This window comes from Homo sapiens, chromosome 7 (genome assembly GCF_000001405.40).
Source record: "Homo sapiens chromosome 7, GRCh38.p14 Primary Assembly".
Taxonomy (NCBI): Eukaryota; Metazoa; Chordata; class Mammalia; order Primates; family Hominidae; genus Homo; species Homo sapiens.
Genome location: NC_000007.14, coordinates 111872702 through 111889015, shown reverse-complemented (window position 1 = coordinate 111889015; position 16314 = coordinate 111872702). Strand labels below are relative to the sequence as shown.

The window sequence follows — 16314 nt, the reverse complement described above, 5'->3', positions numbered from 1 at the left end:
CAAAATGTTCTGCCTTAAGTGAGACCTGACTTGCTTCTGCTGAGAGGGCTTCCTGTATAGCTGCTGGAGTAGAGAGCCCCTCTTCCTAAGCCAGGTGTCTAGTGTCTGGTGGTCAGCTGTCTCCAAATACCCTAACGCTTTCCAGAGATACTCTTTCGCCACCCTCTTGTGAAGAGCTCCCCTATCCTCTATAAGGCTCATTCCATACAGCGCTGCAATTTTCCATGTGTCCTAGTTACTGTCTTCCACCAACTTGTATTTTGAGGGCCAGTGAGGAAGAGGGGGGAAGATGGAGTGGTGTGGTAAGTAGCTGATTAGTTTTCCACAATCAGTCTAGTTCCTAGTTCAGAGTCTTCTCCTTCTGGTTGACTGTCCAACTTCCTGTCCTCTTGTTTTCTTGGCCACTTCAACTCTAGCTACCTCCATTTGCCTTCTACTTCACTATGGCCACACCCTAGGCTGTATTGCCTCTCTACCCATCAGAATCTCCCACTGATTAGATAGATGGGTGGATGAAATCATCCAGAAGCACTTCATATCAAAAATCATAAACTCCCAATATTCTGACCACAGCCTTTCAACCTTCTGATTTTCTAACTATGCCTATTTTTCAGTCTTTTTCTCCTCCACTAGACCACTCTATTTTCTTCCCATTGTTATCTAAGGTATCTCTTAATCCTTAGTTCTACTGTGCCTGCATAGGAAATAAAAAATAGTCCTAGATGAATCTGTAAGCATTGCCCTCTCCTATCCCCAGCCCTAGAAGAAATTAGGGCTGGGGATAGGAGAGGGCAATGCTGACAGATTAGGGCATTGCTAGAAGAAATTATACAGTTGCTATAGGTTAGCATCTACCTGGGTATAGATGTGGGTCCATCAACATTGCAGGCAAACTAGTCCTCACAAGAGCTATTTACAAGAGCTTACCATTCTCCCTACCCCACCACTTCCCAGCTACTTAACAGAGAAAACAGATGCCATCAGACAGGAACTTCCTTAACTTCTTGTGCTCTCTCCTTGCCACCTGCAAACTTATCTGCATCCTTCCTTTCCTTCCGGCTTCCTGTCTCAGGGGATTGGGCAGGATTCCTTTGCTTCAAGACTAGTTCTTCCACCTACTTCCTTCAGGATCTCCCTCCCTCCTGACTCTTCTGGGACCCTGCCCCTCCCAATGTCCTCTCTCTTCCTCCTGCATCTCTTCCAGCAGTATTCACACAGATCATAAACATGCTCAAGCCTTTTTTTTTTAATAATTTTTTTTAAATAGGCACCATGTTCCTTCTTCCCTTCCCGTCATGACATGCAGCCTGCGTGAAATGTCTGTCTTCCCTCATTGCCTCTGCTTCCTCACATCCTCATTGCTCAACTGAAGTTTTTCCCCTTTAGGTCACTAGTGCCCAGCCAGGGGCTAAAGCCACTAGACATTTTAAAAACCTTTCCATACTTGACTGCCCTATAGCATAGAGCACTATTAATAACACTTCTTGAAAATCCCACACTCCTTGGCCTGACGATGTGCTCCTGAGTTTCATCCTTCCTCCTCTTTGAGGACTCATTTCTCTTTATGGATACCTTAAATGTTGATGTTACCAGGGGTTTAGCCCTTGGCTACCATCTGTGTCTTATACTCTCTAGATCCATCTCATCCATTTGGGCAGGTAAGCTATGCTGTTAACTGCCAGATATGTTTTTCTAGTGCAAAACTTTTACCAGCCTACTGAACATCTTCAGTTGGTCTTCCCAAAGACACTGCACACTCAGCATATCCAAAACTGAGCATTTTGTCTTGTCTCCATCCACTCCTGCCATGAAGAGAAACCTTGTCACAGGCTTCTCTTGTCACATTTACCCACCATGTCTAAATAGTTGGTTGCATGACTGGTCAGTTCCACCTCCTCGATAATACTTTAATCCAAGGAATTTAAACCAGAGGTGAGTATTAGAACCACCTGAGATTTTTCTTATTCAAGAGATTTGGGGGTAATCCCAAGGCTTTTATGTATTGAAAAATTCCCTACTCCAGACATACTTAACTATGTATAGTTGCCTCAATATGCCCGTACTTTTTTTTAGCAGTTATTTTAAAGATATTTTAAATTTATAGAAGAGTTGCAAAAATAGTACAGGAAATTCCCATATAACCTTCATCCAACTTCTCCTTATGTTAACCTCTTATATAAGCTATAGTATATTTATCAAAACTAAATTAATCTGGGTACAATTCTGTTAACATGGAATTTATTTGGATTTCACAATAACTTTTCCCACGAATGTCATTTTTTCTGTTCCAGGATCCATTCCAAGATCCCACATTGCGTTGAATGGTCGTGTCCCCATAGTCTCATACGTGTGTTTTTATTCCCCGGTGCCTTTAAGTGTATTGTTTCTTCCCTCCCTTGACTTTTCCTCCCTTGCCTGCTTGATGACCCTTTTATCCTTTACAACTGAGGTCAAATAGTCCTTTGACCTCAGATCAAAGACCATCCTTTTCGATAAGGTCTTCCTTCCCTTCCCCAGCAGAACTGGTTTCTAGTGGTCTTTATCCCAGTGTTGTAATCGGTATTAACAGATAAGTGTGGAGATCAGACATGCAGTGCCCTCAAGGGCAGAGACTGTGTTCATTTCCTTGTTACATTCTTAATGCTAAACTGGAAGGCTGACAAATATTTGGAATTTAATAAATTTTTAATAATGACATAAAGGATGACTACTCATTTTGAAAAAGTTCCCCAAAGAAAGGTATTTTCCTCCAAAAACTATTTAAATCTGGTTTTTATTAACTGGTAATACAGAGTTTCAACTGGATTGTCTACCATACTGTATTTTTTTAATGTGATTACCTACTTTTCACAAGTTACAGACCCCTTAATTTGACTAATTCCATGAATTCCTGTGCCAGTTTTTAAATTAGTAAATTGTAGATGTGGATCTCTCAATCATATATCTTGTATAACTCAAATATCACACTTCTGGAACACTGTCCGGGACTGACCACTGACATTCTCTTTCACATATCTAAGACAGTAGTCAAAAAGTAGCCTAGAACATAATGCAGTATTCATTGCTGTACCAACTGATTTTTATTCCAGAGAAAGAAATACACTGTGAGCCAAACTATATGATCTCAAAGAAGATGAGACTACTACTGCTGCTGCTGCTGCTGCAAAGCCTGCATTTTAATAATTCTGTAAGAGTCTGAGGGAGCACATCTCTCTGGCCAGATCTGATTTCAGACTCCAAGTATAGTAAAGCAAGGATGGTTCTCATCTCTCTCCTCTCTAATTTGTAAATTATCTCCATGCCATTTTAAGATAACTTGCACAGATTCCAACATAGCAAATGCAGAGAACTATCCTTCACTATTACAGTGACATCGTTTTGTTCCCCCAGTCCAGTAGCAGCTTCAAGAAGCCGGGGTCACATTGCCTTGTTTCCCCTGGAAAAAACAAATGGCTTCATTAATTCTTCCCTCATCCATCTGCCAGCATACATCTGCCATAACACTGGTAACACTTTAGCTGTGCTTGTGTCTTCCACAAGAAAACGAGTTCTCTAGTAGAGAAGACAGTGTCTTCTTACTCTCATATCCACATTGCCATGCTCCATGCCTTCACTGGGTTTGGTAGAAAAAATATTCTCTATGTGAAAGCCTAAACTGTGGTTTTACAAGTATTCCTCAGAATGCAAATGATCCGTATTTAACCACCCCATCCAGGTTAGGAGTATAGCTGGATTTTACCATGGTAACAAAGCCATCTCTCAATTACATGCAGCACAAGAATCTCACATCTGCAGTTTGGTGCTGTTGAGCCTGTATTGCTCAGATTTTTAGGCATTTAAGCACCCAACCACTATTCTGTTGCACTTAATATTTCCAATTAAAGCACAGGCAGTGCCAAACCATACTTTTCCAGCCTCATTTCTATGACTTCATTGACTCTTAGCCTTTCACCTAATGGGAAGACTGTTTATTCCCATTTGTTTTCTCCAGTCCATACTCTAGTTCAAAATCTCACTCACAGTAGACCCTTTTCCCACCTGGGGAATTTACTGACTCCCTGGCTGGTTCTAGTATTAGGAAACTGGATAACCTTTTGGCTTAAACTCTAGGCAACAGCTGTTTCTGCCTTACAAGTCTACCTTCTAGAACCTCATTTGTATTATTCACTGCTCTTGAACCCATTTCTTCCCTATCCCTTGTCGTTGAATGAAAGAGTGAATGATTTCTAGCACATTTGTTGTGTTCCTAAGCTCCTGTGTTATGCCCCATCTGCTCCCACCTGCCCTTCCTCCCTACCTTATCCAGGTTGCATGATCCCTTTTGCTCCCTGCATGATTTGAAGACATAAACTAGCCATTTCATTATAAGATTCGTGAGCTTATTGCATTTGAAATTATTTCAGCTCCATATACCACTCTGAGCCCTCTCTCAGGGTGTCTCCCACAAAGATACCTTTCTTTTGAAAAGCTAACCATTTTTGGTCTTTCCTAGCGATACCTACCATGCAGTATTTTATCTATAAATTAAAAATGTTTGAATTAATTACTTGAATTCAAAACTTGGCTAAAACAACAGTAGAGGGAGGCAATGTTATATGGTAGTTGTGAATACAAATTTTGGTTCAAATTCTGACTGTGATACTTTCTAATATTGTGACATTGGGCAAATCACATAAGCTCCTTACGTTACAATATCTTGCCTCAAGGATTGTGTGAGAAGAGAATATACACGCAGTGCAGAGCAGTGCCTGTCACACAGTAAGCACTCATAAAAGGTAGTTGCTTGGATTGCCTTAAAAATCTCCAGTATTTGTATGGTATATTAAGGGTGCGTGCTGAAAACCTCAAGGAACAATAAAAGATATGCTATATTTTCTGTGTGATAGCTTAAGTTTTTCAGAAATAGATTAAAACCTAACCCCCTATCTAGTGTAATCCTACTGGATAAAAAAATCAGATTTGAACCTCTGGTAAATATATAAAAGGGTTCATAGAGACCAAAGAGTAGTTACATGTTTTTCTTCACTGAATTGATGGGCGGAATTCTCTCCTGCTACCCCCATCTCTCTTACACACACCCCAGTGTTCTTGCTGAAAGCTCTTGAAATAACTTTTATGTCCAGAGTATTGTTCATATTTATTATATTTTATACTTGAGCAAGGGTGATAGAGTTTAGCTGTAAGAAGCTATCAAGATGTCATAACTCAGACAGACTCAGATGCTGAGGTCTTGGACCCTCCAGGCTGGGGGAGAAGTGAGAATGAAGGCTTGGTGGAACTGACCTGACCACATCACCTTTTCCTGGCCCATGGAAAAGCAGCCAAGTCTTCTATTCATAGATACACACTAAGGATACAGCACAGCCATCACACCCTCACTCATACAAGTGGTCCATCCCATGGCAACCAGTTGAGCTACATGGGATATCAAGCAGGAATTCCAAGAGGCTGCAGAAGTGCTGCAGAGATGGCAGGCAGTTAGGGGGAGGAGAGTTAATAAGAGATATGTTTACAGGGGCAGAATTTCTGTGAACAGATGGATCATACTAGACCAGGGCAGGCTCCAAATCCTGAGGAGGAGGCCTGGAAATAGCAGGACAGAGTGTCTGGGCTGGGTTTGGCATGAGACTTAGTCACACTAGGAAGTGGTGGTTAGACATATGGAACCCAAATCAGGATAGAGATGAGAGATCAAAGGATGTTTCCAACACTATAGACCAGATAGGGTGAATGTGGGGTGCTGCCCTCATGCTTTGACTTGCCAGGGATGAGATTGAGGGGAGGGGGTCAGTGATCTAGGGTTCCAGAACATTACTTTGCCTAAACACTTTTCCTGAAGAAAGCATTTGAAGTATTCACTTTATAATTATTCTTTAAACCATATATGTATGTTTTATGCATTCTTCTGTCTATATGAATTACTTTGCAGTAGTAAAAGCAATGATTTGGAGTTGTAATATTAAAAGAGAAGTATAGAGGCTGTTTATTATGTTTGTATTGGTGTTTCTGTTACTGGACAGGTGTATTAGAACATCTTGTCATATTCTGATTCTGTTTCTCTAAACTTGTTAGAGAGGTCTTTCCTAAATATTTATTATTAAAAATGTAGCCAGGCATGGTGGCTCACGCCTGTAATCCCAGCACTTTCGGAGGCTGAGGCAGGCGGATCACCTGAGGTCAGGAGTTCGAGACCAGCCTCAACATGGAGCAATCCCGTTTCTACTAAACATACAAAATTAGCTGGGCATGGTGGTGCATGCATGTAATTCCAGCTACTTGGGAGGCTGAGGCAGGAGAATTGCTTGAACCCGGGAGGCAGAGGTTGTGGTGAGCCGAGATCACACCATTGCACTCCAGCCTGGGTGACAAGAGCGAAACTCAGTCTCAAAAAAAGTAAAAAAAAATTGTGAGTCACACATAATAGTCTAGAACACTAAAGGGATTCTATGCTTAAACTCCTACCTGTTACTAGGGCAGTAGCCTTGAAAATATTTGAACAAATTCGAAAGAATAAAGTTAATACAGGTTTTTAAATGTATAATCAGAATCATCTGAGCGTACCAGCTGTATATCTGTTACAATTTTTTCCTCAAAATTTTAATTTAAAATCACCTTTATTATTACAGCATTAAAATCAGTATACAGATAAACCAAAATAAAATAAAATGCCATATTCTCATTACCCAGGTGATGTTAACTATTAGCTCCTTAGTGTATATCATCCAGATATTCTGTGTGGATTTTTTTACCCAAATGATATTATAATACACTATACAATTTTTCTCATTTTTAATTTTTGTGGGTACATAGTAGGTGATTATATTTATGGGGTATATGAGATATTTTGGTATAAGCATGCAATGCATAATAATCACATCATGGAAAATTGGGTATCCATCTCCTCAAGCATTTATCCCTTGTATTACAAACAATCCAATTATACATTTTAGTTATTTTTAAATGTACAATTAAATTATTGTTAACTATAGTCACCCTGTTGTGTTATCAAATACTAGGTCTTACTCTTTCTGTCTTCTTTGTACCCATTAACCATCCCCACCTCCCTGTCATCTCCCACTACCCTTCCCAGCCACTGGTAACCATCCCCTACTCTCCATCTCCATGAGTTCAGTTGTTTTGGTTTTTAGATCCCACAAAAAAAGTGAGAACATGCAATGTTTGTCTTTTGGTGCCTGGCTTATTTCACTTAACATAATGACCTCCAGTTCCATTCATGTTGTTGCAAATGACAGGATCTCATTCTTTTTTATGGCTGAATAGTACTCCACTGTATCCATGTACCACATTTTCTTTATCCATTCATCTGTTGATGGACACTTAGGTTGCTTCCAAGTCTTAGCTATTGTGAACAGTGCTACACAACAAACATGGAAGTGCAGATGTCTCTTTGATATATTGATTTCCTTTCTTTTCAATATATATCCAGTAGGGGGATGGCCAAATCACATGGTAGCTCTCTTTATAGTTGTTTGAGGAACCTCCAAACTCTTCTCCATAGTGGTTATACTAATTGACATTCCCATCAAAAGTGTATGAGGGTTCCCTTTTCTCCACATCTTCACCAGCATTTGTTACTGCCTGTCTTTTGGATAAAAGCCATTTTACCTGGGGTGAGATGATATCTCGTTGTAGTTTTGATTTGCATTTCTCTGATGATCAGTGATGTTGAGCACCTTTTTATATGCCTGTTTGCCATGTGTGTATCTCCTTTTGAGAAATGTCTATTCAAATATTTTGTCCATTTCTCAATCGGATTATTAGATTTTTCCCTAGAGAGTTGTTTGAGCTCTTTATATATTCTGTTATTAATCCCTCATCAAATAGGTAGTTTGCAAGTATTTTCTCCCATTATGTGGGTTGTCTCTTCACTTTGGTGATTATTTCCTTTGCTGTGCAGCTTTTTGACTTGATGTGATCCCATTTATCCATTTTTGCCTTTGTTGCCTCTGCTCGTGGGGATGCTCAAGAAATTTTTGCCCAGACCGCTGTCCTGGAGAGTTTCTCTGATGTTTTCTTACAGTAGTTTCATAGTTTGAGGTCTTAGATTTAATTTTTAATCCATTTTGATTTGATTTTTGTATATAGTGAGAGATAGGAGCAAGTTAGCAAGTTTCATTCTTCTGCATATGGATATCCAGTTTTCCCAGCACCGTTTATTGAAGAGACTCTTTTCCTCAATGTATATTCTTGGCACCTTTGTCGAAAAAGAGTTCACTGGAGGTGTGTGGATTTGTTTCTGGGTTCTCTGTTCTGTTCCATTGGTCTTTGTGTCTGCTTTTATTTCAGTACCATGCTGTTTTGGTTACTATAGCTCTGTAGTAGAATTCAAAGTAACGTAATGTGATTCCTCCAGTTTTGTTCTTTTTGATTGGTTCATCATTTAGTCTTTCTGCTTAAGTAAAGAGTATTTTACACACCACAATTACGGCATTATACTATTCTGTGTTTTTCTGTGTGTTTACTATTACCAGTGAGTTTTGTACCTTCAGATGATTTCTTCTTCCTCATTAGCATCCTTTTCTTTCGGATTGAAGAGCTCCCTTTAGCATTTCTTGAAGGACAAGTCTGGTGTTGATGAAATCCCTCAGCTTTTGTTAGTCTGAGAAGATTTTTATTTCTCCTTCATGCCTGAAGGATATTTTTCCCCTGGATATACTATTCTAGGGTAAAGGTTTTGTTTTGTTTGTTTTTCTTTCCCCTTTAGCACTTTAAAGGTGTCATGCCACACTCTCTTTGCCTGTAAGATTTCCACCGAATAGTCTGCTGCCAGATGTATTGGAGCTCCATTGTGTTACTTGTTTCTTTTCTTTTGCTGCTTTTAGGATCCTTTCTTCATCCTTGACCTTTCGGAGTTTGATTATTAAATGCTTTGAGGTAGTCTTCTTTGGGTTAAATCTGCTTGGTGTTCTGTAACCTTCTTGTACTTGAATGCTGATATCTTTCTCTAGGTTTGGGAATTTCTCTGTTATTATCCCTTCAAAGAAACTTTCTAGCACTATCTCTTTCTCTACCTCCTCTTTAAGACCAATAACTCTTAGATTTGCACTTTTGAAGCTATTTTCTAGATATTGTAGAAGTGCGTCATTGTTTTCTATTCTTTTTTCTTTTGTCTCCTCTGACTGTGTATTTTCAAATAGCCTGTCTTCAAGCTTCCCAATTCTTTCTTCTGCTTTATCAATTCTGCTATTAAGAGACTCTGATGCATTCGTCAGCATGTCAGTTGCATTTTTCAACTCTAGAATTTCTGCTTCTTTTTAATTATTTCAATCTCTTTGTTAAATTTATCTCATAGAATTCTGAATTCCTTCTCTGTATTATCTTGAATTTCTCGGAGTTTCCTCAAAACAGCTATTTTGAATTATCTGTTTGAGCTTGTGGTGAATGCTGCCAGACCTGGGACTTACCCTGCTCCCCTCTCATCCAGGGCAGGTCCAGAAATGCTGTCCAAGAGCCTAGGCCTGTACTGGGGGACCCCAAGAGCCTACTTGGTGCTCTACCCCACTGTGACTGAGCTGGTACCTAAGGTACAAGGCAAAGCCCCCTTTGCTTTTCCCTCTGCTTCTCTCAAACAGAAGGAGTCTTTCACTGTAATCATCACAGCTGGGAATGTGCTGGGTCACACATGAAGCCAGGACGTCTCAGAGCCCAAGCCCTGCAGCATACTCCCTGGGTAACACTGCTGGTTATTTAGGGCCCAAGGGGTCTTTAGTTAGCAAGGGATGAATCCTGCCAGGATTGAGTCCTTCCCTTCAAGGAAGTTGGCTCCCTTTTGGCCCAGGATGGGTGTAGAAATGTCATCTAAGCCTAGAATGGAGGCCTCATGACTCTGCCCAGTGCCCTATCTTACTGTGGCTGAGCTGGTAACCAGGATGCAAAACAAAGTCCTCTTTACTTTTCACTCTTCTCTCCTCAAGCAGAAAGAAGGAGTCACTTTTGTTGCTGCAAGCTGCACTGCCTGGGGTTGGGGGAGGGATTGTGCCAGATTTACTATTCCCTTACTCACCCCAGCAGGTGTCTCCCTAGGTCACATGCTACCCTTGTCCATGGACTCTAAGCCCAGCCTAGCACTAGGAGTTGTCTAGGAATTACTGTCCTTGTCTCCTAGACTGCCTTTTAAGTTTACCTAGGACCCAGAGCACTTCAGCCCATGGTAGCAAGGCTTGCCAAGAAACTCAAGTTCCAGCTGCTGAGATGGTGAGTCTCTTCTGGCTAGGGCTGGTCTCAATGCTCCCTCCTTGCATGGCCACTGTGAGCCCAGAACAGCTTTATTTTCTACTCAATGGCAGGGCAGCAGTGAGTTCAATGTAAAGTCCCCAAGTCACTGCATTATCCTACAAACTTGCACAGATTCTTTCTCCATGCTGCATAGCTACTGCCGGGGGATGGGGGAGGGGTGGGAGATGGGAGAGGACGTTGGAGATTCAGAACTGTCTCTTCTGCCCTCCTCAATACCTTTTTCAGGGATATGAAGTTAAAACCAGGTACTGTGATTGCTCACCTGATTTTTGGTTCTTGTGATAGTGCTTTTCTTTGTGCAGATTGTTGTGAAAATTTGGTGTTCTGGGGTTGGCGCAGGAGAATGAGCAGTGTAGGCTTCTATTCCATCATCTTGGTCTGCTTCATATTTATTTTTAATCCACCAATTTTCAGTTAATGATTTTCTGATCACTACGTTTTTTATCTCATGTGGAATTTAGTCAATGTACAGATTTTTAAAAAGTCGGACACATCAGCAGGTTTGTTCAAATCTGGGACCATATGTTGCATCTGGCTATCTATTTCTTAAGTGTTGTTTAATCTAGAACAATCCCTTTTTTGGCAACACTGACTTAAAGAGATAAGACCAGGCATCTTACAGCAAACCCCCATCTTTTGGATTCTCTGGTTTCTTCCCTGTAGTGTTGCTCAACATGTTGCTCTATCTCTTGTGTTTCCTGTGATATGGAAGTTGAATCTAGATGTGATGGACTGGGGTTCAGCACTTTTGGTAAGAATGCATTGTAGATGATGATACGTGTCTTTGCATTGCCCTGCATTGGTGTAATGACAGCTCGATTCCCCCACATGCAGTTATATTTGTCTTCTTGCCAGTAGGAAGTAATCTGTATGTCGCTACATTGGCATCATATGAACATCCGATTCCTCTTCAACAATTCTGCTGGTTTTAGCACTAAGCAACAATCCTTGACTAAAATAATTACAGTAGGGATATGAAATTATATTTTCTAAGTCTGTAATTGCTTTTACATGTGTTAGCTGGCGTTTTCTATGAAAGTAGAGATTTCCCTCACATAGTAGGACTCTCAAATTATAATACCTGAAATATCTTCTCTTTTAATTGCCAGTTTTCAAAGTAAGGGAGTGTTTAACAGCTGCCTCAGATGAGATGTTGGAAGAATTTAAGTGTTTTTGAAAAAAATACTATGGTCACTGCAAATATGATTTATTGATCATTTTCAAGGTATCAGGACTGTGTTAAAGGCTTTATATAACCTAATTCTTATGACAACACAATGAGATTTTAGAGAAGATAACGGAAACAGTGTGTAGTTAAATAATTTGATTTGATATGGTCACTCACATGGGAAGTTACAAAGCTGGGATGCAAACTCAAATTAATCTTAGTCCAAAAATCTATGCTTAATTATTTTATACAGTTTTTTTGCATTTTATTTAAAAACCAAATTCTACTTGTAATACTGTTTGGAATGTTTCCCAGTTTATAAACACTAGTAATATAAATTATGCTTAATAATTCTTATGAGATCTCTTCCCCTTCCCTTATGTTTTTTTAAATATTTTTAACAGTGTGAAGAAAACACAAATCTTCAGGATACTACCCGCTACCTCAAACTTCCCTTTTCCAAGGGCATTTTCCTTGGGAATAATAATCAAGCCATGAAGGCCACAAAGGAGTCCTTTTGTATTACATCTTTTCTCTGTTCCACAAAACTCACACAAAATGGTAATGTATAATGTTTTATTTGAAAGCCCTAGTACCTAATAATCATGTATATTTTGGTAAGCATATTCAGTAAACACCAAAGTGATAGTTAAGAACTTTAGAAAAATTATTGATCCTTCCATTTGTGATTTCTAGTAAAATGGAAGCAAATGTGACCCAGTGACCTGTTGAATGCATGTCATTTAAGAAGGACTTCAGAATTATCCCAGTATTGAAAAACAAGTACACAACTTTTTAAATAAACCATCAAAACCCAGATGCTTTGAAAAAAAAAAAAAAAACGAAAATACCAACACCTTAATCTCGTGTTTTATAGCTCCATAAACAGTGCTAATTGCAGGCTTTAGAATAAAGGCTGTTTTTTGTTTAATTAGATGCATATTGCTTTTCAGTTCTAGCATTACTTTTTATGTCAGTGATTGTTTAGCAAGTTATGATTAATAAAGCAAGCTCTTCTCCTTGGCAAATTGCTATGAAAACATCTTCTGTAATGAAGGAAGTAAATTAAACATTTTTGAGTTTTTTATCGTTGTCATATAAGACTTCTGGCTAGCACCCCGAATGCTATATTAAATAAGTTATATTCATTATGTTGAGAAGAATCACTTTATAATGAGGTATTGTGTCTCATAAAAACCTGTGCCTAAACAGGTGTGCTTGTTATTCGTTCTTTCTTAGTTCCTTCTTCTGTGTCAGAGAACAGCATTTGTAGAAGGAAATATTTCTTCTTTTAGATCATAGTCTCAGAAAAAAAGAAAATGTAACATCAAAATTTTGACCACTTTTAAAACACCTCTCAATTTCAACATGCATTGCTACTGTATTTATATAGGACACCAAGTTAAGATATGTTATACCAGGTTTTATCAGCATTCAGTAGTTAATTTTACTTAAATAAAACCTCCATTGGCATAACTCAATAAATGATTATAAAGCATTTACCAAACCTCAAGTATTTTTTTATGGGGCCAGTTTACCCCCATAGAAGTTATGAAGATAATAAAATCAACCTCTTATTGAGATCCTTAAACAGAAATTTTTATTTATTCTATGTGGATTAGGTGTGTGTGGGTAGTAGAGTTTGCATTCATGTTTAACTGAATTTCCCCAATAGAATATTTTGGGGTTGTATTACTTATTTATTGCAGCTGTAACAGCTACCACAAACTTACTGGCTTAAAACAATACAGATTTATTATATTGCAGTTCTGGAGGTCAAATATACAAAATCAGTTCCACTGGGCTAAAATCAAGGTGCCAGCAGGGCTGCATTCCCCCTGGAATGGAGAGAATCCATTTTCTTACCCTTCCTAGCTTTAGAAGCCACCTGCATTCCTTGGCCTATGGCCCCTTCCTCCATCTTCAAAGTCAGAAGCATAGCATCTTCACATCTCTCTGACTATGACCATCTTACATCTTTTAAGGATGCTTGTGATTACATTGAGCTGGATAATCCAGTGTAATCTCCCTATTTTAAGATCTTTAATCAGATCTGTACAGTCTTCTTTTGCTGTGTGAGGGAAACATAATCCCTCCTAATTCTTGGAACAGGTTCTTGAGGCCATTATTCTGCCTACCACACAGGTAAACCTAACAATAGATTCTCTTCCATCAAAATATTTGGTCCTATGTACTGAATTTGTGCTAGTTGTAGAGTTTAGGATGTTAGACACAATTATGAAAATAAGACAGAAACAAATCCTGAAAATTAGAAGTTGCTACTTTTTAAAAGTAGAGAACATTTTCAGGTAAATATGAGTAAAAAACAACTTATGAAATAATTATATTAAACATCTCACTATGTGGAAAGTGGGATCGGAATTCCATGCAATGATTGGCTCATCTTTGGAGACGGATAAGTGTTTCATTATTATTTTGGCTTTGATTAACCTTGTCAATGAGAATTGGCTCAAATGAGCCAGGAAATGCATGTTTCAAGAGATGGGAAGGAGGAAGGAAGTTAGTTGGTCTTTCTGAAATTTACATGCTAAACACACATCTTTGTGTCGAAGTAATCTAGTTCCAAATTGGAATTAAATTGCTATGTATTCATTTTTCTTGACGTGGAAAATATACAAATCTTATTTCTACTACAATTCAGCATTTACTAAGTGATATGGTCTCTAGGAGCAGTTTCATAGAGCAAATTTGCATTTCAGAATTCCCAAAGTGTGTCTGTCTGCACACGCTTTGCGTTGTCCAACATGGACAGTGTACCAAGGTCAGAGCACTATGCTGGGCACCTGTGACTGCCAGAACAGGTAGAGATTTTAAGGTTCAGAGGATTAGGGGTCATGGCATCCTCCTATTTTATAGCTCTTGATAGGTTAGGTACATAATATACACCTAGTAAATGCCTGTTGAATGGAATGTAGAAATTGGTATTTTCTGTGATAGGTTATAGCTCCTAATTTGCAACTAACATCCTCAGATGGCAAAAGTAAAAAGCTAGGATACAGCAATTTTGCCTGAACTTGAAGTATTTTGCATACATGATTAATTACATCCAGATGGACATAACTACTGGGCTTTTCCACATGCTCCATCATGAGCAGTGTAGAGATTCATCAGCCTTCTTGCAGGGAGGATGGGCAGGCTCATCCTGACTCATTTTCTGGACCCCTGTAATCTGTTTTCCAGCCCTACTTAAATGGGCCCTAGTCCTCATTCTCCACTGCTGCCACTTGGTAGCCAGCATAGCCACCTCCTTCCTCCCCACACTCCTCACATTGAGCAGGGTCCTGATGGCCCCTGCAACTGCCTCACTTTAAAGGAAGGGAAAGAGAACACAAAGGAGGAGTGAGAGCTGGGATGGGGGTGGAGTGGGAAGTGAGGAGTGAATGGCAGGGGAAATGCACGAGGGATTATGAAAGAGAAGATGCCAGGGAGGGGAGGCCTCCTGAAGTGAGATGCAGGAAGTAGGAAGTAGGTAGGAGGGAAGCAGCAAACTGGGGAGAACAATAGAGCTTTGCCTTTGTCGCCCTGAGTCTCACTCTGTGGAAATATCTGATATGCCAAATATAACCAATCAGTTTTAAAAGGTTTCAGTCATACCCCAGGATGTCTGAATTACATCTGAATAGTCAACATTTTCAGGGTTTTTGGTTATGAAAACATCATAAATCTCTTTTTCAAAGTCAGTATTTTTAAAATCACTTTATTTTTCTCATTCTAATTCCTCCTCCTCCTCTTACCCGTGTTTGTTGCAGATAAACATTCCTGTTTGGTACTGAATTCCTTACTATTAATAGTAAATCCTTTGTGAGGTTTTTCTCTTGAATCTGGCTTTGGTGGAGCTTGCTTCTCTTTCTCCTTGAGATTCTTAATGCTTTTTCTCACTGGTGTTCTCTATATTCTCTTTTTCTTTCTCATCTTACCTACTTCCTTGGTTTGGGGGGTTTGGAGTTTTTGTTCCCTCATCATCTTTCTGTTTCTCAGAAAGTCCCTTTTGGGTTTCTGCTAAAACAAGTGATTTGAAGTAAATTTCCTGCTTCCCTGCCTGGAAATTCTGTCCTGGCTCCTCTCTCGGCCAGTCTAGTCTGGCAACTCCACTGAGCCCTGAGGCCAGTTCTACCAGGTCCCGCTGCCCTGCGCGTGCTCGGCACACGCGAGCCTTCAGTTCTCACTGCATTCATTGGCCTCCAGATGCCACCTCTCCCTGCATGCGTTGGAGACTAATAATGCATGGAGACCATCTCCCACAGCCTTTGTAACTTCTGCCCAAGAAAGATAAATTTATTCCCTCCCCAGGTGAAGAGGTTCTCTAAGGACCTGCTGGACCAAAGCCCTCATGTCTGTTTAGGAAAGGGTTAAAGAGCTGGGCCCTGTGCTTATCTGGACTCTGGGATGAAAGATGGCCTGTGGAGTCCAGGAGCTGCTCTTCTCAGGTTGAGAGCTCCCTGGATGATCTAAGAAATCACTGGGCCTGTTACCATTCTTTTAGTCTGCAAGATTTGGGTCACATTGCCAAGAAGACCTTTGTTCCTGGGTGGAGTTGGTTGCTAGGCAGAGTGCTATGTGCTGGGCACCCAAACGGGAATAAAGCAGGTTCCCAGCCCTCAAGAAACTCTCATCTTTCCAGGAGGAGGCAGAAAAATTAATCAACAAATATTTGTCACCTGCCTGATTTGTAAGGATTTGTAAGTGCTACTGTGATGTGGAAGCATGTAGAAGGGACAGTTAGCTCGAGATTTCAGGAAAGGCTTCCAAAATGAAGCAACATCCGATCTGAGGACTAAAGGATGGGTAGGAGTTTGTAAGTCAAGAGCAGTGGAGAGGAAACAGAATACAGTGAAATAAATGCCATCCTAGAGAGGGCTAGTCATAGT

General features: G+C 39.8%; 1 protein-coding gene across 14 annotated transcripts in view; it reads left to right on the top strand.

Moving 5' to 3' along the window:
- DOCK4 (dedicator of cytokinesis 4) overlaps window positions 1-16314 on the top strand; it is a 480290-nt gene that overhangs the window by 317384 nt on the left and 146592 nt on the right. For all 14 annotated transcript variants that reach the window (XM_047421081.1, NM_014705.4, XM_006716189.3 and 11 more), the window contains exon 17: window positions 11830-11986. In XM_047421081.1, the coding sequence (XP_047277037.1) occupies window positions 11830-11986 (157 nt within the window). The remainder of the gene's footprint in view (window positions 1-11829; window positions 11987-16314) is intronic.